Source organism: Homo sapiens, chromosome 2 (genome assembly GCF_000001405.40).
Source record: "Homo sapiens chromosome 2, GRCh38.p14 Primary Assembly".
Lineage (NCBI taxonomy): Eukaryota > Metazoa > Chordata > Mammalia > Primates > Hominidae > Homo > Homo sapiens.
In genome coordinates, this window is record NC_000002.12 from 104,925,416 (window position 1) to 104,949,811 (window position 24,396).

General features: G+C 40.7%; 1 protein-coding gene and 1 long non-coding RNA gene across 5 annotated transcripts in view; one reads left to right on the forward strand and one right to left on the reverse strand.

The window, feature by feature from the left end:
• Positions 1-2,358, forward strand: part of POU3F3 (POU class 3 homeobox 3) — a 74,498-nt gene extending 72,140 nt beyond the window's left edge. For all 4 annotated transcript variants that reach the window (NR_197434.1, NR_197433.1, NR_197432.1 and 1 more), the window contains one exon: positions 540-2,358. The gene's annotated coding sequence lies outside the window, so the exon portion shown is untranslated. The remainder of the gene's footprint in view (positions 1-539) is intronic.
• An 8,467-nt stretch (positions 2,359-10,825) lies between these two features.
• The window catches only part of MRPS9-AS2 (MRPS9 antisense RNA 2), a 102,256-nt gene continuing 88,685 nt past the window's right edge, over positions 10,826-24,396 (reverse strand). Inside the window, exons 2-3 of the long non-coding RNA NR_110603.1 lie at positions 19,589-19,662; positions 10,826-11,350 (exon numbers count right to left, since the gene is read on the reverse strand). This is a non-coding gene — a long non-coding RNA (MRPS9 antisense RNA 2). The remainder of the gene's footprint in view (positions 11,351-19,588; positions 19,663-24,396) is intronic.

Consider the following 24,396-nt stretch of genomic DNA (forward strand, 5'->3'; position numbering starts at 1 on the left):
TAGGTAAGAAATTCCCAAGGTTTCCTCTTACTCTCTTGACTCATGTCCCTTAAGTTAAACCTCAGATAGAAGCAAAAGAGGGTGGGGAGGAGGCCACTGGACCAACTAAACAGAATCTCTCTGGATTATGCAGAACTGGGTGCTACAACTGTGAGCCATGCAGAACCTAGAGAAGGTGTAAGAGAAACATCCTCGAATGCAAAAAATAAATTTAAAACTGTAAAAAGTAAGACCACAAATGAAAGCTAAATGATTAGTGATTATTTAGCCTAGAATAAAGGCTAAGGAGAAAAATCTATTAATTTTCCTCAGAGTTAGATAGAAGAATAGCTTCTGGCTGAACTTTCACTCTGACAGAATCAGAGAAAATTAGCCCAGCCATAAAGAACTTAGACTCTGAGGCAAAATTTCCCACTGGGGAGTTATTTTGTGTGTTTGTTTAAGAAACCATTTTGGACGAGTGTCTTAGTCAGTTCATGTTGCTGTAACAAAATACCATAAACTGGGTTGTGTTAACAGCAAATGTTTATTTCTTACAGTTCTGGAGATTTGGAAGTCCAAGATCAAGGTGCTGCCGGATTTGGTTCTTGTCTGGGTTCATAGAAGATTGTCCTCACCATAGGCATGGGCAAAGACTTCATGACAAAAACACAAAAAGCAATTGCAACAAAAGCCAAAATTGACAAATGGGATCTAATTAAACTAAAGAGCTTCTGCACAGCAAAAGAAACTCTCATTGGAGTAAACAGGCAACCTACAGAATGGGAGAAAATTTTTGCCATCTATCTATCTGACAAAGGGCTAATATCCAGAATCTACAAAGAACTTCAACAAATTTACAAGAAAAAAACAAACAACCCCATCAAAAAGTGGGTGAAGGATATGAACAGACACTTCCTAAAAGAAGACATTTATGTGGCCAATAAACATATGAAAAAAAGCTCATCACCATTGATCATTAGAGAAATGCAAATCAAAACCACAATGAGATACCATCTCATGCCAGTTAGAATAGTGATGATTAAAAAGTCAAGAAACAACAGCTGCTTTAGAGGATGTGGATAAACAGGAACACTTTTACACTGTTGGTGGGAGTGTAAATTAGTTCAACCATTGTGGAAGACAGTATGGCAATTCCTCAAGGATCTAGAACCAGAAATACCATTTGACCCAGCAATCCCATTATACCCAAAGGATTATAAATCATTCTGCTATAAAGACACATGCAAATGTATGTTTATTGCAGCACTGTTCACAATAGCAAAGACTTGGAACCAACCCAAATGCCCATCAATGATAGACTAGATAAAGAAAATGTGGCACATATATACCATCGAATACTATGCAGCCATAAAAAAGGATGAGTTCATGTTGTTTGCAGGGACATGGATGAAGCTGGAAACCGTCATTCTCAGCAAACTAACACAAGAACAGAAAACTAAACACTGCATGTTCTCACTCATAAGTGGGAGTTGAACAATGAGAACACATGGACATAGGGACATAGGGAGGGGAACATCACACACTGGGGCCTGTCAGGGGGTGAGGGGCTAGGGGAGGGATAGCATTAGAAGAAACACCTAATGTAGATGATGGGTGGATGGGCGCAACAAACCACCATGGTGTGTGTATACCTATGTAACAAACCTGCACATTCAGTACATGTATCCCAGAACTTAAAATATATGTATATGTATATATAGTCCTCACTGTGCCCTAACATGGTGGGAAAGGCAAGGGATCTCTCTGGCATCTCTTTTATAAGGGCACTAATCCCACTCATGAGGGCTCTGCCTTCAAACCCTAACCACCTCTTAATACCATCATTTTGGGCATTACAATTTCAACACATGGCTTTTGGGGCACACAGACATCCAGTTCATAACAACGAGGTCAGGAATGCTTCCTTTTGGTGGCTTTTTAAAGACACACAAAAACAAAGATGAGAAGGCAGGGAGAAAGAAAAGGGAAAGGGGGTAGAAAGGGGGTAGAGAGAGAAAAGGATGGGGATTTAACTCTCTGATAAATACTAACATGTTTACAATTTTTAAAAAATGGGTCAGGTGCAGTGGCTCATGCCTCTAATCCCAGCACTTTGAGAGGTCAAGGCATTAGAATTGCTTGAGCCAAAGAGTTCGAGATCACGCTGGGCAACACAGTGAGGCATCTATCTCTAGAAAATTTTTTTAAAATTAGTCAGGTGCTGCGGCATGCACCTGTAAGTCTGAAAGCTGGGGCGGGGGATTGTTCAAGCCCAAGAGTTTAAGGCTGCAGTGAATTATAATTGTGCCACTCTACTCTAGCCTGAGTGACAGAGTGAGACCTTGTCTCAAAAAAAAAAAAAAAAAAAAAAAAAAATGTCGAGTTGACAGGACAAGGAGTTAGGGGAGGGAAAGAAGAGCCAAGATTTGCTAACTTTCCCTCACCCTACCCTAGGCCAGAGCTTATATAGTATTCACAACACACTTAGAAGTGGAGAAATGAAAGTAGACATTATGATCCTCCTTTAAAAAAGATATCCAGTGAGGAAATTGCTGCACAAAGAAATTAAGGAACTTCCCTAAGGGCACACAGATCACTGATGAACAGACCAATGTTCAACATCAGGTCTGACTGAGCCCAAATCCTATGTGCTGCCATGCCTGCATTAGGGCATACTGGGGTCAGCAGGGGCCTCTGGGGCCCAGAATTGCTCAGTGGCCCAGGATGTCCCAGTGATACCTTAAGGTGGGCTGTGGGCTCCTCTGTACTTCCTGCACCGCTCCTTCACTTTCACATGCAGTCTTTCAGAATCCTGTACTCCGCTAGTTAATTTAAACATGTATTTCCACTTATGAGTTAATGATTATTGTAATAGGTGATGTAAAAGATATATCCGTGCACAGTAAAAATTCAAATGCTACAGAAAAATATAAAATATAAAAGTTTTCCTTCCTTCTCCCGACCCTCCCTTTCCACAGAGGAAATCACTATTAAGAGTTTTGTGTGCGCCCTTCTTGAAAAATATCCTAAGCGTATAACCAGGTCCATACTTAGTACGTCTAGCTGGGTAGAGGAACTTGTCTTTATTAATTATGAATAAAACAGGAATCTTAATGCCCCTCTTACATTAGAATCTTTCTGATGTTATTATTTTTGAAATGTGTTTCAGGAAAACCTTATGCTTTAACATCTTAAATCAAAGAAGTGATCTATATAATGAGAATTTGAGGCATCATAATAATGAGAAAATAATTTATTTTTGGGTTTTTATTATTTTTTAAATGCAACTAATTAATGATGATTCTTTTGGATTGGGCGATGTAAAAACTTCTTTATATATATCTTTTTTTTTTTTTTTTTTTTTTTTTTTTTTTTTTTTGAGACGGAGTCTCGCTCTGTTGCCAGGCTGAAGTGCAGTGGCGCAATCTCGGCTCACTGCAACCTCTGCCTCCCGGGTTCACGCCATTCTCCTGCTTCAGCCTCCCGAATAGCTGGGACTACAGGAGCCCGCCACCATGCCCGGCTAATTTTTTGTATTTTTAGTAGAGACGGGGTTTCACCATGTTAGATAGATTCTCACTCTGTTGCCCAGGCTGGAGTGCAGTGGCACGATCTCAGCATCTCAGCTCACTGCTTCCTCCGCCTCCCAGGTTCAAGCGATTCTCCTGCCTCAGCCTCTCAAGTAGCTGAGACTAGAGGCGGGCACCACCATGCCTGGCTAATTTTCATATTTTTAGCGGAGACGGGGTTTCTCCATGTTGGCCAGGCTGGTCTTGAACTCCTGATCTCCAGTGAGCCACCCACCTTGGCCTCCAATGTGCTGGGATCACCAGTGTGAGCCACCATGCCCAGCTGAAGATAAGTCTCTTAAAGTCTTACAGCAATACAGGATTAAACCAAGAATTGAACCCGGGCAGCAGGATCTCTGATCCTGCGTTTCTAACCGCAACACAGATCACCATTCATTGCAGAGATGTTACATTCACCTTGGAAAAAAGGAGAAAGGAAGAAAAATGACACTCAGATTATTCACCCAAATAAAAATCATATTCACGTTTACTCTGATCTGTTTCCTACAGTGATTTTCTTTCCAGAACTCCAGATCTAGACATAGACCCCTGTAACTGATGTAGTTGCCTGGTTTATGAACGGATTCACAATAGGTAAGGAATTCAGCCACTGTTGGTTACACAGCAAATAATAAACTCACCTGAAAAAAGGACTGTTGTGAAAAATCCAGAACTTGCTCTGTCACTAAGTGAAGGAGGGGACTGAGTGATGTGTTTGCTCGTGCCTCTCTCCCTAGGGCCAGTTCCAGCAGGGACCTCAAAATGGGGACAGTGGATGAGCCAGTCAGTAATCAGACCTTTGGGAGCTGGGATGGCAGCTGGATGCCAGTGGCCAAGCCTCTTTCAGCCCCTGACAGCCAGCTGACCCTGCCTCGCTCCCAAAAGACAAAGAGTGCTCAGTGACACAGTCACCAACCACCGCCATCTCCTGTTTTGGGTTGACTAAGAACCACAGGGCTGCTGTACAGCTAAATACAATACAGTCATATTTTGAGTCCTTACCAAGAAAAAAATACTTGCTATACCTGAGCATCACTGTGTTTATAATTGAATCGCTATTCAGGTGGGGGTGGCAGCTACAGAAATTGATTTACAAACTGTCTAGTTGGGTCTAGGTATTTGTTTTTATTAATTATGAAGAAAACAGGAATCTTAATATCACTCTTACATTAGAGTCTTACGGATGTTACTGTTTTTTAAATGGGTTTAAGGAAAACTGACTGAAAAGCGTGAGTTGCAAATAGCATCCTGAGAAAGCTGCTAAGCAATACATATTTCATACCACTCCTGAACGTGGTCAGATATAAATAGCAGCACAGACATTTAAGAGCTATTCTCGCTGAAAAAAAAAGTAATTAATTGGTGTTATACACAAAGGACTTCTCTATTTATTTATTTATTTTTTGGGTAACCAGCACAGCTTTAATTACAAGTAATTGTTCTCAAAATCAGGCGGCTCGTAAGTTCTGCATTCTAGACAGTGATTATGCATCAATACCCTAATCTATCACTTTCATTATTTTAGTCATTTGGGTATGTAAATTTGTATTTAATTCAGACAACAAACTCCGCAGTTCCCACTGTTACTTTCTATGAACATACGCCTTTTTAAGGCACAATAGGGTTGGATGATTTAGATTTACATTCATTTACTTTTACCTAGGAAAATAATGGTACATTCTTGTGGGTTTTGCTGACTTCTAGGTAAATACAGTGGCATTAGATGTACAAGGAGGCAGGTTTGTCCCTAGTTAATTAGGAATTTTAGTAGGTGTCTCTATAGAACTGCATTTGTTACTGCATCATAATGAGCTGGAGTTTGCAGAAATTCCCCTGCAGAAATCTCCTAGTGAAGTAATAGGAGCCTATTCTTTACCTCATTCAGAATTTGTACATTTCTTCTCTCCCAAGTTAGACACTAGAAATGTCGCCTGGATTACTCAACTCCAGTACACTGTTTACTCTCTGCCCGGGCTTTGTATATCTGAGTAAATTTCAAAACAAAACTCAAAAGCCTTCCCAGGACATCTGATGGGAACACATTCGCTCCACCTTGTCTTTGTGGATGACACCACTATTTTGTTTCTGATCTCCTATACAGGCAGATATTCTTTATTTCCTATGAAATATGTGTCCTTGAATGCAAAACAAATGGTGAATGCCCTTTGTTCCCTTTCTAACTTGCTTTTTGGTGTGATGGTCTAATTGCTATGCCACAGAGTTTTAAATGAAAAAAAATTTGAATTAAAAATTCTATCCATACTTACAAAAAACAAAACAATAAAATGATACCTTTGGTAATCACTTATTTGGTTGAATAACTCTCATAAAACACACACACCCACAAATGTTTTAAACTACTCAAATATAAAATTTTGTGGAGGAAGAGATTATTTACAATGTTAGAAAACAATGCCATTGCCAGAGACATTTTCTTGGAGTTGCAAGGTAGGTCAGATAAGGGAAAATACATTATATGATGATGAACTATGCTTTATGCATTTCAAAACCTATTTAAAATTAGAAATTTTGAACAAAATTTACATTTAAACGTACTCATTTTCTTTAATTATTTTTTAATAAGCTTCCTTGTTAAATGGGAATAATATAGATTTCAACTAGCTCAGAATTATACTGCGTTGTCTACTCTATCCTATCTTTCTTTTTCAGGAATAGTTTTTTATAGACTTCATGGGAATTTTGCTTAAGCGCAAAACTGCCAGTAATTTTTTATTGAGGGACTTCTGCGATTATATTCAGTGAGTATAGGACTCATGATGAAAAGACAAAAAAATAAGAAAAAGAAGATGATGACGATAAAGGATATGTTCCTGTCCTCCTGAAGGAATTAACAATCCACACAATAACACATGCACACACAATAACACACGCACAAGCACACAGAGCATTTGTTCCAGATAAGTACACGAATATAATGAAACTGAAAAACTAAGATTTTTACAAGCCAAAGGCCCTCTGAAGGTGGAAGGACTAGATTTAAATTGAGATTAATTTGGAGAGTTTCTAGAAATATCACAAAATGAATAATATAGATTGTCATCAGATAAACAAGTCCCAAGTTCGATTAAATATTTTTTTATTTCACGAAGGTTATTTAACCAATGCTTACCAGTGCTTTACTAGAGTTTTTACTTAAATGAAAACCTTAGAAAGTTGTTTGGGAATGAGGTGGAAGAGACTCCGGGGTGACCAAATGACAAGTAAAGTTCCCAGGCCAGAATGAACAAATCTAGAGTGAAAGGAAGCTGAGATTGGTGAGAAGACACAGTGTCTGTCTGAACTAGTGAAAAACAAGGCAGGAAGTTCCAGGAGGAGAAGGGATGGAGGAGGGAGAAACTTGTAAAAGCAGGCAAAATTGTTCCAACAGGCCATAGGGCACTAGGTGTCTCACTGGCATTTTCACGTTGTGATTACTCTCACTTTCCGTATCTTCTTGCTTACATCACTTAAATCCAGTCACCCAAACCAAAGATTAGTAAAAACGAGACATATGATAATATTCGTAATAGGTGTTTAGCCTCTGCCTACAGAACCTCAAAGCACATTAATTTAGAGGAAAATAAGCAGTTATCTGACCTATTTGGGGGTGGGGAACCCAAGCACTTATTTACATTTTTAATTTCCATTCCCCTATTAGTGAATGTTAGTGTGTTGTCTAAAACTGCAGTAATCCAGGGATGATCTGTCTTTGAACACGTAGGGAACCATTAAGGGAAACAGCACCTCAGTTATGGGAGTGGGACGAACTGACTGTGTTTCCAATTATTTACATGAACAAGATGCTGAACACGACCATATCTCCAACTGATGTGCTTTTATGTGTAGCTTTTCTGTCACTGGTGTTGCACATAGTGGGTACTAGGTAAATGATTTTGAATTAAAGAGATTAATTTGCCTGTTTCCAATATGATTTTTACCATATGAAAAAAAAAAAAACCCCAGCGACATATTCGTGAACCGAGAGAGTTAGCGGGTGAAAGCTTTACCTTTCAAGACACACGGAGAGCTAAGGCAGAGGTTTTGATTGCACGGGCAGCCCTAGATCAGCCCTTAGCTGGACTAAACACACTTCTAGATATTGTGTTTGTTGCTATTTTGTTGTAAGCAATAGGAGGTCCCTTTGGTAAAAGTTAAAGAATGATAAGCAAAACAATAAATAGATGTTGTTGGGACTTGGAGAATCTAATTTACAAGTACCCACTTAACGTCTTCAACTACAAAATTCAGATATCCACATTTATTTTTGTGATGGCCATGCAAAATTGTGTGGAAGGAGAGATGATTTACAATGTCAGAAAACAAGGCTGTTGCTAGAGAAATTTTCTTGGGGTTTCAAGATAGGTCACATACTATTTTGGCCATGAAACAAACAACATGTGTAAGGCCTGGCAGACATGAAGCAGCTGAAATAACGATCATACCAAACATAAATGAAAATGATCCATCCTGCATACACAACTCCAGTGCTTTCGGAGAAATGAGGGTTTTACTTCTTTTCCAGATACTGGAAAGTTTTACCCTAATAAAGTCCAGGGACAGTGTGATAGTGAATCAGGAGAATCGGGGGATGGAGGAATCCAAGTCCCCACACTCTCAGTGGATTTTGGGAAGAAAATTCAAGGGGAACTGTGGTGCTGTAAAAGGCATGCTGTCTTTCTGAAGAGGCGTTGTTTTGATCATTCCATAGGTAGACGCTGCTTTGAGCAATACTTTTGGCATTACTTTGAGTCATGCCAAACACGCTTTGCGTCCTTGATTAAGAATTGCACCTATACGCACATTCCTGGGCATGGTCTATTCTGTTTCATTATCATGCACCCAGCAACAGACCAACTTCTGCTGAACAATTAGGAGGTCATAGACCTGATCAGGAAGACTGTGGCCCCCACCTTCAGGAAGCTTACAATCTACTTAGAAACATAACACACACATACACCCATAAAGAGATCATAAACCTTAGCAGGGCGTGGCATGCCGCTGCAGTACCAGCTACTTGGGAGGCCAAGGCGGGGGGACAGCTTGAACCCAGGTGTTCGAGGCTGCTGCACTCTGCATCCAACCTGGGCAACAGAGTGAGACCCTGTCTCTAAAAAAGCTAACAATAAATAATAATAATTTTATAAAACTAAAAAGAGACCATAAACTCACTTTTTAGGTGGCCAAGCATTTCCACATAAGCAATGGAGAGTGCTCACTTTTCAGAGAGCCTCCAGAAAAGGGAGAAAGCTTTCTTCAGACCCAGTGGCCAGGGCGCTTTGCAATAGTGCAGAATTCGACACACAAAGATCGCTATTATGGATGGACAAGGAGCAGCCAAGAGAAGAAAAGGGGCAGATCTGTGACTCAAGCGGCAGCCCTTGCAATGGGAATAATCCTCATCCTCCACGTGTGCTGTGTGTGATACAGGCTTCCCAGGAAGGGCACTGGCCAAGCCCCTGCTCCACCGAAGGGGACTGTAGCTTTGCTTCACTCTCCCTCCCTGCTTAATCACTGGCTCAAATGACAATCCACCCCAGGCAAACGATGCTCACACAGAGAAAAGGACAGCCAGGCCAAGAACAAATTTTTCTAAAAGTTTTCTTTTTTTTTTTCTACATCATCTCAACCTTCCTTTTTAAATAAATGGACTTGCAAATAGACCTAACTTCAAAGATCTCATTGGTCGGCCTTCACTGTTTAGGTATCCGGGCAGGGAACCATTCAAGATATTATTCTTATTTTTTTTAAATCTTCTTTTTCTATCTTTTCAATAGCATCTGGATGATCTTTCCATTCTTGTCTAGTGATAATGAAATCATTAAAAAATGTACCAGAACCCTTTTTGCTTATCTCTGTGCCATTTGGAACATATGTGAATAAATTGAACACCACTTGCTCATTGATTTTCTTTTTTTTCCCTCTTCCCTTGTTTTTAAAAGCCCTGTTTGAAATCAGTCACTGAAAGAGCCGGCATCTGAGTTAACGTCTGACGATGGGAGGTACGCCTCAACGTCGTCCACATGGCCTTGATCTAGACAGCGAGCCACAACCTACCCAGCACATTTTTGTGGCTTAAGTGACCTGGAGTGTGGGGCTTTTCTTTGTTGAAGATTTTCTTTAGGTTTCAAGTTGATTTTACACCATTAATGGTAATTCCAGCTTGGGCATTGCACAAATAGTTCATAGATGACCATGGGGAATCCAGCTATGCTGTTGGGACTAGTAGCTAAACTCTCTTAGAGGGCTTGAGTTAGATCAAAGAGCATCTTTCCTTTTCTTGGAAACCACATTGCCAGCCTTTTCCAGCCAAAGGCCTGCTTGTGTTAAGTGAGAAGAGAGAGACTCATCCCAAAAGAGGCCGCCCTGGAAGAGATGGGAAAGACTTTTCCAGGAGGAGTTTGCTGAAAAGCATAAAAGGGTCAGCCTCCAGCTTATCACTCAAAAAAGTTTTTAAAGCCTTTTTAAGGAAACAATTTTAACCCAGCTGCACTTATTGATCAGTGATTTGATTTTGCTTTGTTAGGAGAGACTCGTAATCTGCTTTTAAATGTCTTTTGTTCCTGGCCTTCTTTGATAGCAAGTTCTGCCTAAGGCTACTTCTCAAAACTCATCACTGGAGTTTTCAAGTCTATGTGAATAACTAGAATAATTTTAATCTGGACCTTTCTTTATCCCCTACTACCTACCCACTCCTGTTTGCAGCAGAAAATGTTAGGTGGTTGTAAGAATTTTTTTTTAATCAAATTCTGCCAAACCTAAAACCTATAAAAAGGAATCATTTGTCCTTTCAAAGAGAGAGAGAAAGCAAGGGAGCAAACTCTATTTACAAAGTCAGAGGGAGTCAATCTGATTTTATTTTCTCAAGTACATTCAGTGAGTCTCAAAAAGAATGCAAGTTCTCAAGTCTTGCCTCTGCTTGGTATCAGCCACAATTAAAAAATAAATTTCAGAAATATATCTGAATCACTGTAGAACATAATTTTTTGGCAACAGATAGGTTTTATAGAAGCTTTTTTACTTGTAACTTTCAAAGGTTGTAATCATGCCTTTCATGACATTGTGAACTATAATTTTGTCTTGCTAAGCTACCATAAAAGAGTGGTTGTTTTATTATTATAGTATGCACTAAAAAACAGAACCTATGCTCCTCATTTAACTAATCACTTCTGATATTTCTCAAGCTAATGGGAACCAAAAACACTTATATCTGTTCGTAGATGTTCTTAATGAAATGCACACTTTTTTTATAATGTAAGCATATGCGTACACATGTATGAACTTTACAAGTTTATTTAGCAAGAAAACAAATATGTGAGGAAAACAGACTTTTCAAGTGGTGCTTTAATTGTCGTTCATGCATGTTCTACAGATCATTACTGAATGTTTACAGGTCCTGCACGGAATGACTTTACACCAAAGAAGAGGGTAACGTATCCTCACTGTTTATAAAAATGACAGCCCCTAATGGACCATATTAGCTTTAACACAAACTATTAAATCTCCTTCATTACTTTTTTCTGTGTTCTGTTTCGGCATCTCGTTAGCTCTGAGAAGTGGGTGCAAACTCCTAAGGAAACATGAGCACACATTGAGACGATTAGAGATCATGGTTATTAGATAAGCCTCAGGAGGATGTTTTTCTTGGGTTGCTCACAAGCATTTTGAAAGAGTCGTGTTCCAGGTTTGAGATCCCATGTTTCTTCCTCTTAAACTATGAGCAGCTGTAGCACATGACCTACTTCTGTAGGGCCCTGTAATGATTTCCTTCCTTCGGAGGCTTCAGGAGTTCTCCTTCTGCCCTGTGAAAAAAAGGGACAAATATTTTAATCCAAGCAAAATGCTGAAGCAGGTTTTGTTGGTTTCAGGGAAGAAACTCAATACAGCTCCAGCACTGAATGTAGGCCTCAAATTGGAACCATCTGGGCCGCAGAAGGGCTCAGAGACCTTTGGGGAAGGCAGAGACAGTCTTGCCTAGGGCCGCAGCCCATACACCTGCAGAGATGGCCGACGTCTGGGCAGGCCCTGGGCTCACCCAGGAACTGGAGCCGCTCCTACTGCGGCAAAGCCCTCACTGCCTGGCATTGCAGTTGGGAATACCATGTAAGAAAAGGTGACAACTGCTTAGAGGACGACTTCCTACATGAATATTCCTCACAGTGAAAGGAAGGCCTCATGATTCTTTGGAACACATTTGACACAAATCAGACATAATTTCCTAACTTTTGCTTTTTAGCAGACAGGGAGGAAAGTCCTCAGGAAACCATAGGTGGGTATACACAATATTTTTAGAGTTATCCTTAACTAGGGGAGAAAAAAAAGGCTTTTACAACCCAATGCATGCCTGTTTGGTGTTCTCCGTATTCTTTTCTTGTTTAAAAGGTTGTTATTATTATCTTTGACTAGTTTTCCTTTTTAACTAAGTGAAAGTGCTTTTCAAGTGTTTTCTAATATCTAAACATAGAAGACTAGGCCAGCTGCTGGAAGGTTATTTTAAATAAAGTATTTTTTAAAATTTTATATTGCAAACTTTCCATGGGTGAGGGATGAGAGTATCAACCCATTTCCAAATATAAAGGGCGAGGACTTTTGCTCAAAGATTAGAAATCTTATCATGTGATTTTAAAACCAGTGCAGAATATGTTTTCTGGAAAGAAAGTGGGACATAAAGAGCAGATAGAAATTGTACAAAAGTTGTGCATTTAATAAGTATATTTTCCAAATATTAGTTGATGAGGAATATATCATTTTCAATTTGGGTTTTAAATTATTTACTGTGGTTAGAAGTGCAATGTGGCCATAATAGAATCCTAAAGAATATGACCAAACTTGACATCCTGAGAGTGGAAGCCCCATGACAATCTCAACACCAAGGTCAGAGGATGATTTATTGAGAAAGGATCAGTCCCTGGAAAAGGTGACAATTCAGAAAAAAATAGAGGTGCTTGAAATTTTGAGCTTAAATTCCTAGAAGTGTGAATTTATCTGGTTTCTTCTAACTAATCTTTTTCAATAAGCCAGTGGACCACAGTTTTTTGCTTATTGTAAGTACATTTATTTGTTTATTATAATTAAATCTATTGACTGATGGAAATTACACAGTGAAGACATATATTATATGTATGATTAAAATGTTTAATATTTTTTAAAGTTAAGAATTGTCAGCAAGAATATATTTTTTTAAATTCCTGAATGGAAAATAAGTCCAAAAAATAGTATTTGGACTGAAGGCTCACAGAATATCTCTCATTTTTAAAAGTTCTAAGGATGTATCTGTTGCAAGGTTTCCCAGCACATTCTTAGGGGTGACATGACTGTACGGTGTTTCGGTTCTGAGCTGTTCTCACATGCACACTTCATCACAAGCCAACTGGGAGGGGTGCGGGAGGGTTGTGTGCGTTGGGCTTACTTTTTTTTGCCCTGTTCCAAATTTATATGCATGAATCTAAATTTTTAACCAAATCTTTGTTCTCTTTCCTCTTGAGGCTGCTTCACACTCCTGCCTACGCACCCAGCTGCACCCAGATAGCTCTTCCTCCCTCCCCACCCTGACAGCCTGCACCGCTGCTCAGCTACAGGGTGAGACTTAATGGAGCTGAGCAGAGCATTTCCTAGCGAGCTTCCTGCAGAGCAGTCAGCCAAGACTGGGAAAGGCCCACCACCAAACACCAGGAGCCAGGGGAAAATCAGAGGGCCAGCCCGCTGCAGGGGCAGCCTCCAGAAAGCGTCTTGCTGTCATTTAAGGGTATTAGTTTGATACCTTTAGGAAGGCTTTGGGTTTCTCTAAAACATGGCCACTGTCTCATTCATATAGCTCTGTGAGGATGCCTATATTCAGTATCTGGGCTAAGCTGACCCACCAACTCCATTGAGTTGCGAATTTCTAGCATGAATGCCTAGCCTCAGAAAAGTAAGAAATTCTGCTGTGTGTCTTCATATGTATTTTTATTTTTACTTTATTACTACTGTTATTATTTTTAGAGACAGTGCCTTGTTCTGTTGCCCCAGCTGGAGTCCTGTGGCAATATCCTAGCTCACTGCAGCCTCAAACTCCTGGGCTCAGGTGATTCTCCCGCCTCAGCCTCCTGAGTAGCTAGGACTACAGGTGTACCACCGTGCCTGGCTGATTTTTCATTATTTTAGAGATAGGGATCTCATTACGTTGGCTAGGCTGGACTCAAACGCCTGGTCCCAAGCGGTCCTCCTGCCTTGGCCTCCAAAAGTGCTGGGGCTACAGGCATGAGCCACTGCACCCACCCTCCCTGAGTATATTTTTAAATACAGGGTTTCATATCTTCAACATAGCCCCTAAATTAAAGCAATGATTATAACAATCGCACAGCAACTAAAGCCAGTGTTCTGATGGTTTTATTTGAAAAGCACCATTCTCTACAAATGGAAGCTGATCAATAAAAAATATACATATATTTGAGAGAAAAGCCCACCCTGTCCTCAGGAAAAGCAACCCGTAGAGAGTGGGCAATTTCAGATTGATTTATGAACTGGGAAAGTATTTCTGATTTTGTTTTAATTTTTTCTTTGGCCAAACTGGTCAGGAGGTGATGAAGACTGACTTCCCAGCCCTTTGCTGCCAAATCTTAACTGCCTGAAAACTTACAGAAATGCTTGATTAAAACTAGAATAAAAATCTCCAGTTGCCTTCAGCAAACCACAGCACAAGGGTGGGAAAACCAGTGCCAGGTTGCAGTTTAAGTATAGTCACTTGGCGCCTGCTGAAAGTACTGCTCCCTTCCTGTTTAATAATTAATTCAACTTTAAAGCCCCAAGGATCTGGACTCAGCACCAGTTTCACAAAGCAGTACAGAAACAAAATGCTTCCAGAACTGGAGGGGGGGATAGAGGAAGAAAGAATCTAACATTTCAAGAAACATCACCACATGGGGCCGGCAAGCAGGGGGTGGGGTTTGGAGGTGGAAAGATCCAGGGTGGAGAAATTCAAAATAAAATAAATACACACAAAAGCAAGGTTATTCACGGCCACTGGCACTAGGACTGGGAGCGGCATGGCGAGCCGGAAGTCATCCATTTGGGAGGCAGGCTGGTGCCTGCAGGCTAGTGGGGCCGAGAGGGTAATGGGCTCAGTCTCTGGAAAAGGAGACCCAGCCTTGCTCTTCAGCAGTGGCCTCTGCTCATTAGTCAGAGCATCGTGCTGGAAAAGGCATCCAAGGTGGGCAGTCATCCTTGCTTTCGCGCTCCTCTCCCTCCACCCCACCCCACCCGCACAATTCACCCTCCAGGGGAAGGGCCGGAGAATGCCCGATGTGAGGGCGAAAAACAAGCAAGTTCCCAGGCTTAAATATTCAGTTACAGAAGTTAACACCCAACATAGCAGCAGATAACTGCAAAAATGTGTCCCCGCATCCAGTGGGGCACCTGCACTGTGCTTTGTGGTTTTTCTAAGTCGTTTGCTTTCTCTAAGCTGGTGAGTCCAGCCAGAAAGGTGATGCACTGCAGATGCTGAAAACAGGCAGAAGCTGCTTAAAAGCTTATCAAATCTCGTATCGCACACAAGATAGGAGGGGGAATGTGTCCAGAACGACTGCAGCAGGCCCACCTCCAACCTCACAATTCAATATGAAACCACATGGACTATTCTTCTGTACTCCAGGAAACCTAAGTATCCCAAAGCATTGCCAAGAGATGGTCTCACCAGAAATGAACAGATTAATTAAACAAAACGAAGGCCCGAGTGGCCAAGGGAAAGAGGAAAGCTATTTAACCCAAATTGTATTTACTTTTTGCTTATTTTTATTATTATAAAGAGTCATGGGATAGAACACTCACACATATCCCCTGAGATTCCAGTTGGGTATTTTGAAATCGACATTCACATAATTAACTGGTTGAGTTGGACAAATAATGACCTGAATATTTTCCGTAATCCTTAAAAATGGATGTTTTTATTACTCTGCAATTGTTAAAACTATATGAATTTTCTTTATATTTTACTTCATACATACATTAGTTATAAAACATTTAAAGTACATTTACTTTGTATGTTTCCCTCCACTGCAGATTGATGGTGTTGCCTTAAAACTGTAACAGCTGTATTTTAAAAATAGGATTTTGTATTCCTCTTGACTGAGTTCTTAAAACTATGCCAAATTCAAGTTTGAAACTAGTTTCCAGTTATTAAACAATTTCAAAACCAGAAGGTCAATATGTTTTTCTCTATTTTTGAGGTAGTGAATGTCTAGCTGCTGCTTTTTATTTTTCAATTTCAAGTTTGGTTTCAAGCTCATGCCCCTGTTTTCTTACAAAGCTCATAGTCCCAGACAGTGAATCCTTCCTCACAGTAACATCTTCCTTTGTGATGAGAATAATTATCTATCAGCGTATCTTTTTAAAATAATAAATTTGGGTATTTCTAGGAGGCAGTGCGTTGTCATGGAAACACCGTTGGACTATGAACCAAGCCAGCCTCTGGGCTGGTCCAGCACTAGCTGTACATCCTGGCAAGTTACAAACCCAAGAACACACCCCTGGGTGTCAGTGTGTACCGCTGCTAAAGGAGGAGTTCTCAGTGCTTCTCTCCCTGCACTGTGTCTGCAGGGAACCCCTTTTCAGGGTTGGGAAAGGAAGACTCACACACACACAGCCCACTCTAAATCGATCCAGACTATGATAAGTGCTGAAATAGAACCATGAATTAAATGAACCAGAAGATTTATAAGGCCTGCCCAGCTCCACAGATCTCTGATTCCATGTGAATCATGGATTCACCAACTGGGTTATGCCCAGTCACTGGCCTCACTCACTCAATGCTCGCCGTGTCCTGCTCACTCCTGTCCAGCCTGGCCTTTTTCATACAATCCACGGGGAATTGGCGCTAGTAGGTAGTAGGTAATTTGGAAGATTAGATTAAATAATTTGGAATATACCCATGGATATACATGAGCCCTAAAAAAGGGAAAAGGTGTGGCCCCATGATGAAAGAGTGGAAATCAAGCTTAACTCTTGGGTAATCAGCGTATGTGTAGGGCAAGTGTATTCTATTCAAGATTTACCCACAAGAGGCAAAAATACTGTGTCAGAAGTTAGCAGATAAAACAGGAATATGAAGAAAATGGCACAACTTTTTTTTCTACCTTTTTGTGATCCTCCCTCCTCATGGTTTGAAATATTTTGTGCTAGTTGTCAAGTGTGGGCCTTATAGGCTGATGGGACAGGGGTCCTCACCTCAGTTTTCTCATCTGAAAAATGGGGATTTCAACGTCAGAAGGTTGCTTTGATGATTATCTGAATTAATATATGTAAATCTCTTGGTAGAATACACGGAATTTACCAAGTTGTAAGTTGATGTCAGCCATTATTATTGAGTTAGGAGAGCTATGTTTTTTGTTATGTTTTGTTTTTGTTTTTGTTTTTGTTTTTTGAGACAGAGTCTCACTCTGTTGGCCAGGCTAGAGTGCAGTGGCATGATCGTGGCTCACTACAACCTCTGTCTCCTAGGCTCAAGCAATTCTCCTGCCCCAGCCTCCTGAGTAGCTGGGATTACAGGCATGCACCACCACACCTGGCTAATTTTTGTATTTTTAGTAGAGATGGTCTTGAACTCCTGACCTGAGGTAATCCTCCCACCTCAGCCTCCCAAAGTGTTGGGATTACAGGTGTGAGCCACCGCGCCTGGCCTAGGAGAGCTATGTTTAACCAAAGAGCTAGTGACTAATAATACATAACTAGTATTACCATACTGAAATTTTTTGCCTCTATATGCATTTGCTAGGGCTGCCATGACAAAGTGCCACAGGCTGAGTGGCTTAAACAACAGAGATTTATTTCCTCACAATTCTGGAGGCTCCGAGTCAGAGATCAAGGTGTGGGCAGGGTTGATTTCCTCTGAGGCCCCTCTCCTTGGCTTGTAGATGCCACCTTCTCCCTATGTCCTCACATGGTCTTCCCTCTGTGCATGTCTGTGCCCTAATCTCTTTTTATGAGGACAACAGTCACATTGGATTAGGGCCCACCCGGATGACAAGCTTTAACCTTAGCTTGTTAAAGACTGTATCCCCAAATATCATCACATTCTGAAGTACTGGGGTTTAGGACTTCAACAAGGGAATTTGGTGAAATACAATTCAGCTTATAACAGCCTCCACATCAGTAGAAGTACGGCTTCCATCAAGAGTTTTAAAATAACAGAAGTTCAGATTTGTATACATGGGTATATAAATGAAAGGGATCAACCTGGAGGACATTATTAAGTGAAATAAGCCAGGCACAGAAAGACAAATATTGCACGATCTCAGTCATAAGTGGAATCTTAAAAAGATGCCTTAATAGAAATAGAGAGTAGAATAGTGGTTATCAGAGCCTGGAGAGGGGAGGGGTAAGGGGAAACAAAAGAGGTTGATCAATAGATACAGAGTTGTAGTTAGGAAGGAAGAATAAATTCCAGTGTTCTATTACATAGTATGGTGACTATAGCAGATAGCAATGTTCTGTGTATTTCAAGATGGCTAGAAGAGAACATTTTGAATGTTATCGCTACAAAAAAAAAATGATAAATGTTTAAAGTGATGAATATGGTAATTACCCTGACTTAGTCATTTATACAATGTATATACATGCATTGAAACATCACACTGTATCCCATAAATATGTTCACTTATTATGTCAATTATACATAAAATGGAATTAATTTAAAAAGAAAAACAAATGGGGAAACAGGCTCTATCCAGACCCTTGAATACTTTCACTGAGATGAAGCTGCATGCTCTGTGACTGTTCCCCAGTACAGAATAGACACTCACAGTCTGTAGACAAGTTAAAATCAAGCAGAGGTGAGGGCTATTATAACACCAGTGGAATTGATCAGTGTAATACATTTGTTGACTCAACTCACGAAGCTTGGATAACATAAACCAACAGAAATCTGCTTGAACCTGGGATCATCCAGGCCAGAGAGGAGGCTGACGAGTTGCCTTGGTCCTTGGGTGACTTGACCTAGCACTGAACTCTGTGACCTATCAATCCATGAAAAGACAGAAGGAAATGTTTCACACACGCAGTTCCACACCGTGCCTCCATGAGCTCAGTGACAGACAGATTCGCCCTTTCCCACTGCCTTCCCTGGGAATCTTCTGTTAAATAGCTAGTCCATAGCTGCTTTTTCGCACCATGGCTATGTCACCCCTGCCCTTGTGCCAGAGCAGATTGAGTTAAATATTTAACTAATTTCTATTTTAAAATGTGTTAACTCAATAAGTTTAGATGCATATTCATGATCCTTTCAAATATTTTCTCTTTTGGGCTTCTTCAGACTCTCATTTTGGGATTTGCTAAATATGTCAGCCCAAGGAAGGTATTTGAGAAGCATATTTTCATTAGATATTGGTCACCACGTCGCTTGAGCATGAAGCTTTCAAAGAAAATTAAAGTGAAAGGAAAAAAAAGGTCTAGTATTGGTTATTAACTCCACCTCAGGGTGACTTCTCTTCAGGGGCAATTAAATAGCAGCTCTGGGCTGCTAAGTTTAGTGGCTTTACTTGTAGGTGGCACACTTTTCTTCAAGGACAACCGCCAGTCAGATCTGCTTTGATTTTTACCTGATGACACTGAGGCTGCCTCTGCAAAACCAGATTTTGTTTGAAATTGTAGATGTGACCACATCTATGTGCTCTGACCTTTCTTCTTTAAGAACCAAGTTTTGCATTACCAGGTAAATGCCCTTTCAGTGGAATTTTCATGGAACACTGGGGACATCCTGTGGTCAGCTTGGTTTAAGGCAGCCAGTCTTTTCAGCAACAATCTCAGGGAATAAAGAAATAAATGTCCCACATGAATCCTAGTTTATTTTGCAAGAACAAGAAGATAAAAGAAAAGAAAAGAGAAAAGAAATACACTCTTGTTCTTAATAATTTTTGCAATATAAACCTCTTTTTTTTTGAGCAACACAGTTTTTCAGTGAACGTGGATGGAGCAATTATTTTTGTCAAGGACAGATATTTTCCGGACACAAAATACAGCTTCAGCAGAATAGAGGAAGCATGACATCAGGCGTTGCTCCGCGATCATACCTGGTTCTTACCATCTGCTATTGTAAGTTCCATGTGCCTTGGCTCAACTTCTGGTCCTCGCAGGAGACAGCCTTCTGCAAAAAAGCACACAGCATGGCTTAAAGGGAAAATAGTGGGTATTTTGGCAGTTTTACACCACAGATAGTGTACCAGTGACACTAAATTGAAGTCATTTAGTTGTAAATGTGATATTACATTTGATGGTTTCCACTGGCAAAGCACTGAGCTGCCCACGTTAAACAGAGGCAAAGAAATGGAACTTGGAGAGCAAAGCCAGTCACCAGAGTAGCAGACCAAAGGGGCTTGTAAAAGCGTTTGTCGAGTCATTTAGAATCATAACTCAGCTCAACACACATGGTACCAGGAACAGCCAGCTCAGTTTCAGCAGTGGAAAGCAGGCAATGGAGTTTATGTTGTTCTTCTGTTTATTAAAGACGGATGGGAGCACTCGACAGAAAAATCAAACTTCTGGTCATGGCTCATTAATCCCTGTTGTATCTGTCAGGGGTATGTGTTTGGAGTTCCAACAAGCCTCTAGAAGGAAGATCACTGCTGAGCTTTGGTATTTTCTCTAATTTTGAATGGAAAGAGACGCCAATCACCTAGAAGGAGAAATAGAATACGAGGTTATTTTTAACTCACCTACTTTAGTGGTCATTAAACATAAATGAGTTGGTTTAAGACAAAAATGATTATGGTTAATAATTTTATTGCCAATTTTTGTCATAGGGCTTTCTTTAGGAGAAGCAGTAAGGTAAAGACAAATGTGGAATAAAGCCAGATATTATGGCTGTTCTAGGAAAAGCTCAGCTTTTGGAGATAGATCTTTGGGTGAACCTGTGCAGACTCTTTGTGTGTGCCTGTGGTCATTGAAGTGCAGCTTCTATCAAATTGTCTCCTGCCTCCTAAGCTGGAGATGGAGATAAGACCCTGGTCTACCCAGACTGTTTACAACAACCCAGAAGACAGGAGCAGCGCTATTCTGATCCCTGTGTTGGAAACAATGGTCCTTTGTGAGACGATGTATGTTTCAAAGCCTCCACTCTGTGCTGGCTGCACCAGCACAGCTGATCAAGACTACAGGACCAGGAGAAATGCGGGTTTTCCTGCTGACTCAGGGCTTGGGCTCTCAGATCCACATTTCTGAATCTCCCAAAGCCTCAGGTTTCTTGTGTGTAAAAGGTGCATCATGACACTCATTTAGCACACACCTCAGAGGATTTCTTAAGGATTAAATGAGGTAATGCACATAAGTAACTTAAACACAGTACGTGGCCCATAGGTGGAAGCACTTGTAAATGTTGTTCTTGGGGTTGCTATTAGTACTATCATCATCTCCATCATCAGAGACAGCGTTGTTTGCTCTAGGTTGTGATCCTCCACACAATAGCCTCAATCCGCTTGTCAGGACTATGTGGGAGGGACAAGGAGAGGTTGGAGAAGGGTCCTATCGGCTCAGCTTGGCCCACTGGTTGGGGCAATGATTGAATTAATACTTTTGGACTCCATTCTGGGCTACGTGCTGTGAATGATACAGTGAAGTTTTAAATGTCGTTTCTGCACTCAATAAAATTTAATCCATGTTAGTGGGTACAGGAAATTATCTGCGCAGGCAATCTTAGGTCAATAGCTTTCAAGTAAAGTAGGTGGAACCCCTAAAGGGAGACCAGTGCTGAGTGGATTGAGAATTCAGGAGTAAGCGGGGAATCAAACTAAGCACCTGCTACACATTTGGGTTCACCCCTGGAAGCTAAGAATTAGCTGGAGTCATGCCTCTGAGGGCTTCCAACAGGGTCCGGGCCTTCATTGCATATTCCTGTTTCTTTTCAAATTTGGTTTTTTGTTTAGAAACACACACCGTTGGCCAGGCGCAGTAGCTCACACCTGTAATCCCAGCACTTTGGGAGGCCGAGGCGGATCACGAGGTCAAGAGATCAAGACCATCCTGGCCAACATGGTGAAACCCCATCTCTATCAAAAATACAAAAATTAGCTGGGCATGGTGGCATGCACCTGTAGTCCCAGCTACTCGGGAGGCTGAGGCAGGAGAATCGCTTCAAACCAGGAGGAGGAGGTTGCAGTGAGCCGAGATCGCGCCACGGCACTCCAGCTTGGCGACAGAGCCAGACCTGTCTCAAAAAAAAAAAAAAAAAAAAGAGAAAGAAAGAAAGAAGAAAGAAAGAAAGAAAGAAAGAAAGAAAGAAAGAAAGAAAGAAAGAAAGAAAGAAAGAAAGAAAAACACACATAGCAGGTCCCTTCCTTTGCCTAATGGCCTAATGTTCCCTACCAATGAAGAACAGAGACCAAACCGTCTGAGCATGGAGCCAGTCTGAGATAGAAGTTAGAAGCTCTAAGAGCCTCTCCCATTATGGTCTTTTCTTCATCCATGACCTAAACTCCAAGGAAATCCTTCTAGAAATAACTTCTGAGCACCTACAATGATGTGTATAAATCATGACACCAGAACTTGCGGGAGATACCCAGAGAGCACGGCTTCTCCATGAGGGAGGCTACATTCCAGGCAGCAAGGAGCTGAGTGTACACAAATGAGTCTGATGTGAGGCAGGAAATGTTAGGTGACGTACATGAAAAACCAGCAAAACAGGACAGGTTTCAGAGCAGGAGAGAGTGCTTCTCTTGAGACCAGTCAGGAAAGCTGTCTGAATTAAGGGATTGTGTTTTAACTGGACCTCGGAAGACAGTAAAGAGCCGGACGTGTGATAGAAATGTTTACCAGAGGGCTTCCAAGTGGAGGAACCAGCAGAGCAGAGGCTTGGCACCACAACGCTATGTGTTAGTGCAAGAAGGAATATTAGGAAACCTACTGAAAGTCCACTGGAAATCTTTGCTTGGTGAGGACAAACAAATATATTTCAAGGAATGCTTTGTTTATTGCGTCCTGCTAATCTTGTCGGAACCATTTCATTCCACGTGAAGAGGTGAATCCACATTTGGGAATCTAATTGACCCTGTGGGTTTCATTTATGTTGTAACTCAAGCCTGATTACCCCCCCGCCAACCCCCCACCCCACTCCCACTCTGCCAGAGCCCGGGAACCTGAGGACTGTGAGAGCAGCAGCGTCCTAAAGGAGCATCTCAGCTGTGAGCCGTATTTTCAATTTTTATTAGCCTTTCTTATTTGCCCACAGCCTGATTTCTTTTAGGCTTGACACAATTTGCATGACTGAGTTAATCCAAGTGTGAAATGCAGTAGGGACCCGATTCAATGGATGGTCAGAAAGGCAGCATTATTAGGACATAAAAGAGATGGGGCAGGGTGATGCCCCCGCAACTCCAGGTGCAAACAGACTGCCACGGGGCACTTGCAGTGATCCGCAGGGCAGGACAGTGCTCCAAAAGAATGAACTGTGTGCACTCAGCACGGGAGATGCATTCTTCAAGGTCCTTCTCACAAAGTATTTATCAGGCCAGGCGCTGTATTTGAGATCGGCAAGCAGACTCCCTCCATGTGGCATCAAAATCTCTCAGCCTAAATCCTCTAACACTCCTCGTAAAAGAAGTATTTGCACATATATATTAAATATATATGTACTTTTTATTTTAAAATACTTTTAGACTTGCACAAGGGCCATACGGAGAATCCCCATTTACCCCCCACCCACCTTCCCATAATGTGAACATCTTACACTGCTATGGTACATTTGTCAAAACGTATAAATTAAAATCAATTCAGTACTATTAACTAAACTGCAGACTTCATTCAGATCTCCCCAGTTTTTTCACTGTCACTGTATTCATTTTGAGAGATGTCACCCTACTCATTTTGGTAATTATCTTTAACCAACAGAAAACATCATTATTGATTTCCTTTTGCAACCTGCTGGCCTTGCTCAACCTCTGGGCTCATCAGGTTACAAAACATGCTCCCCACACAGCCAAGAGGAGACTCAGAGCCCCCGTGTGCACTTCACATCCTTGCTGGAAATCTCTGGGGAGAACAGGCTTTCTGCTCAGCCCTTCCTGGAGCATTGAGAAGTCCCGAAAGCCAGCTCCAGGGAGCAGCTGTAAATTTGCTGGCAGTCAGTAGCTTCTGGCTGTGGAGTGCTAGCTGTCCTCAGATATCTTCATACTAAAAGAAAGACCTCCAAGGGTGGCACCAGTACATCACAGAGTGGGCATTTTGTGAGGATCTTACCAAGCAATGGTCCTTGCCTTTTTCTTTTTTATTCTAAACTCTTTTAATAGTAATAATATAATCCCCTAGATCTTCTTAGTAATTGTTTCAAGTAATTCCACTGTTTTTGGTAAAATTTTGTTTAAAAATTTTATGTCAATGTTACTAAAATGTTGTCTTAGAATTCATGTTTAATAATTCTAAATATTATTGTCTATAAAATATGCCTTATTTGCATCAAGAAATAAATGACATAGCACATTTTATTCCCAATAAAGTCATAAATTAGAAAAAAGAATATTTTGTAGACCAATTTGCTTTAAAATGATATATTGTCTCATCATTGGAGACTGAATGAATGTTAAAACATTACATTCAGTTTTGTTTAATGTATGTTAAAACAAACAACAATTACACATTACTATGTCAAATATACTAAAATACCTTTTTATTCCTTGATATAGAGAAATCTTGCATGTTGCCCTTAAAACATCGGCAGCTTTATTTTTATAACTTTTGCTTTTTTTGTTTCTCAATGACAAAATATGGGAGAAAGTTCATACTGATATTTGTTAAAACTTTGCAACTAACACATTGAGAGTATAGTTTTACATTTTAAATTCCCAATAAGTAATAAGCCACACTGGATACATTTAATCTTTTTCACACTGAA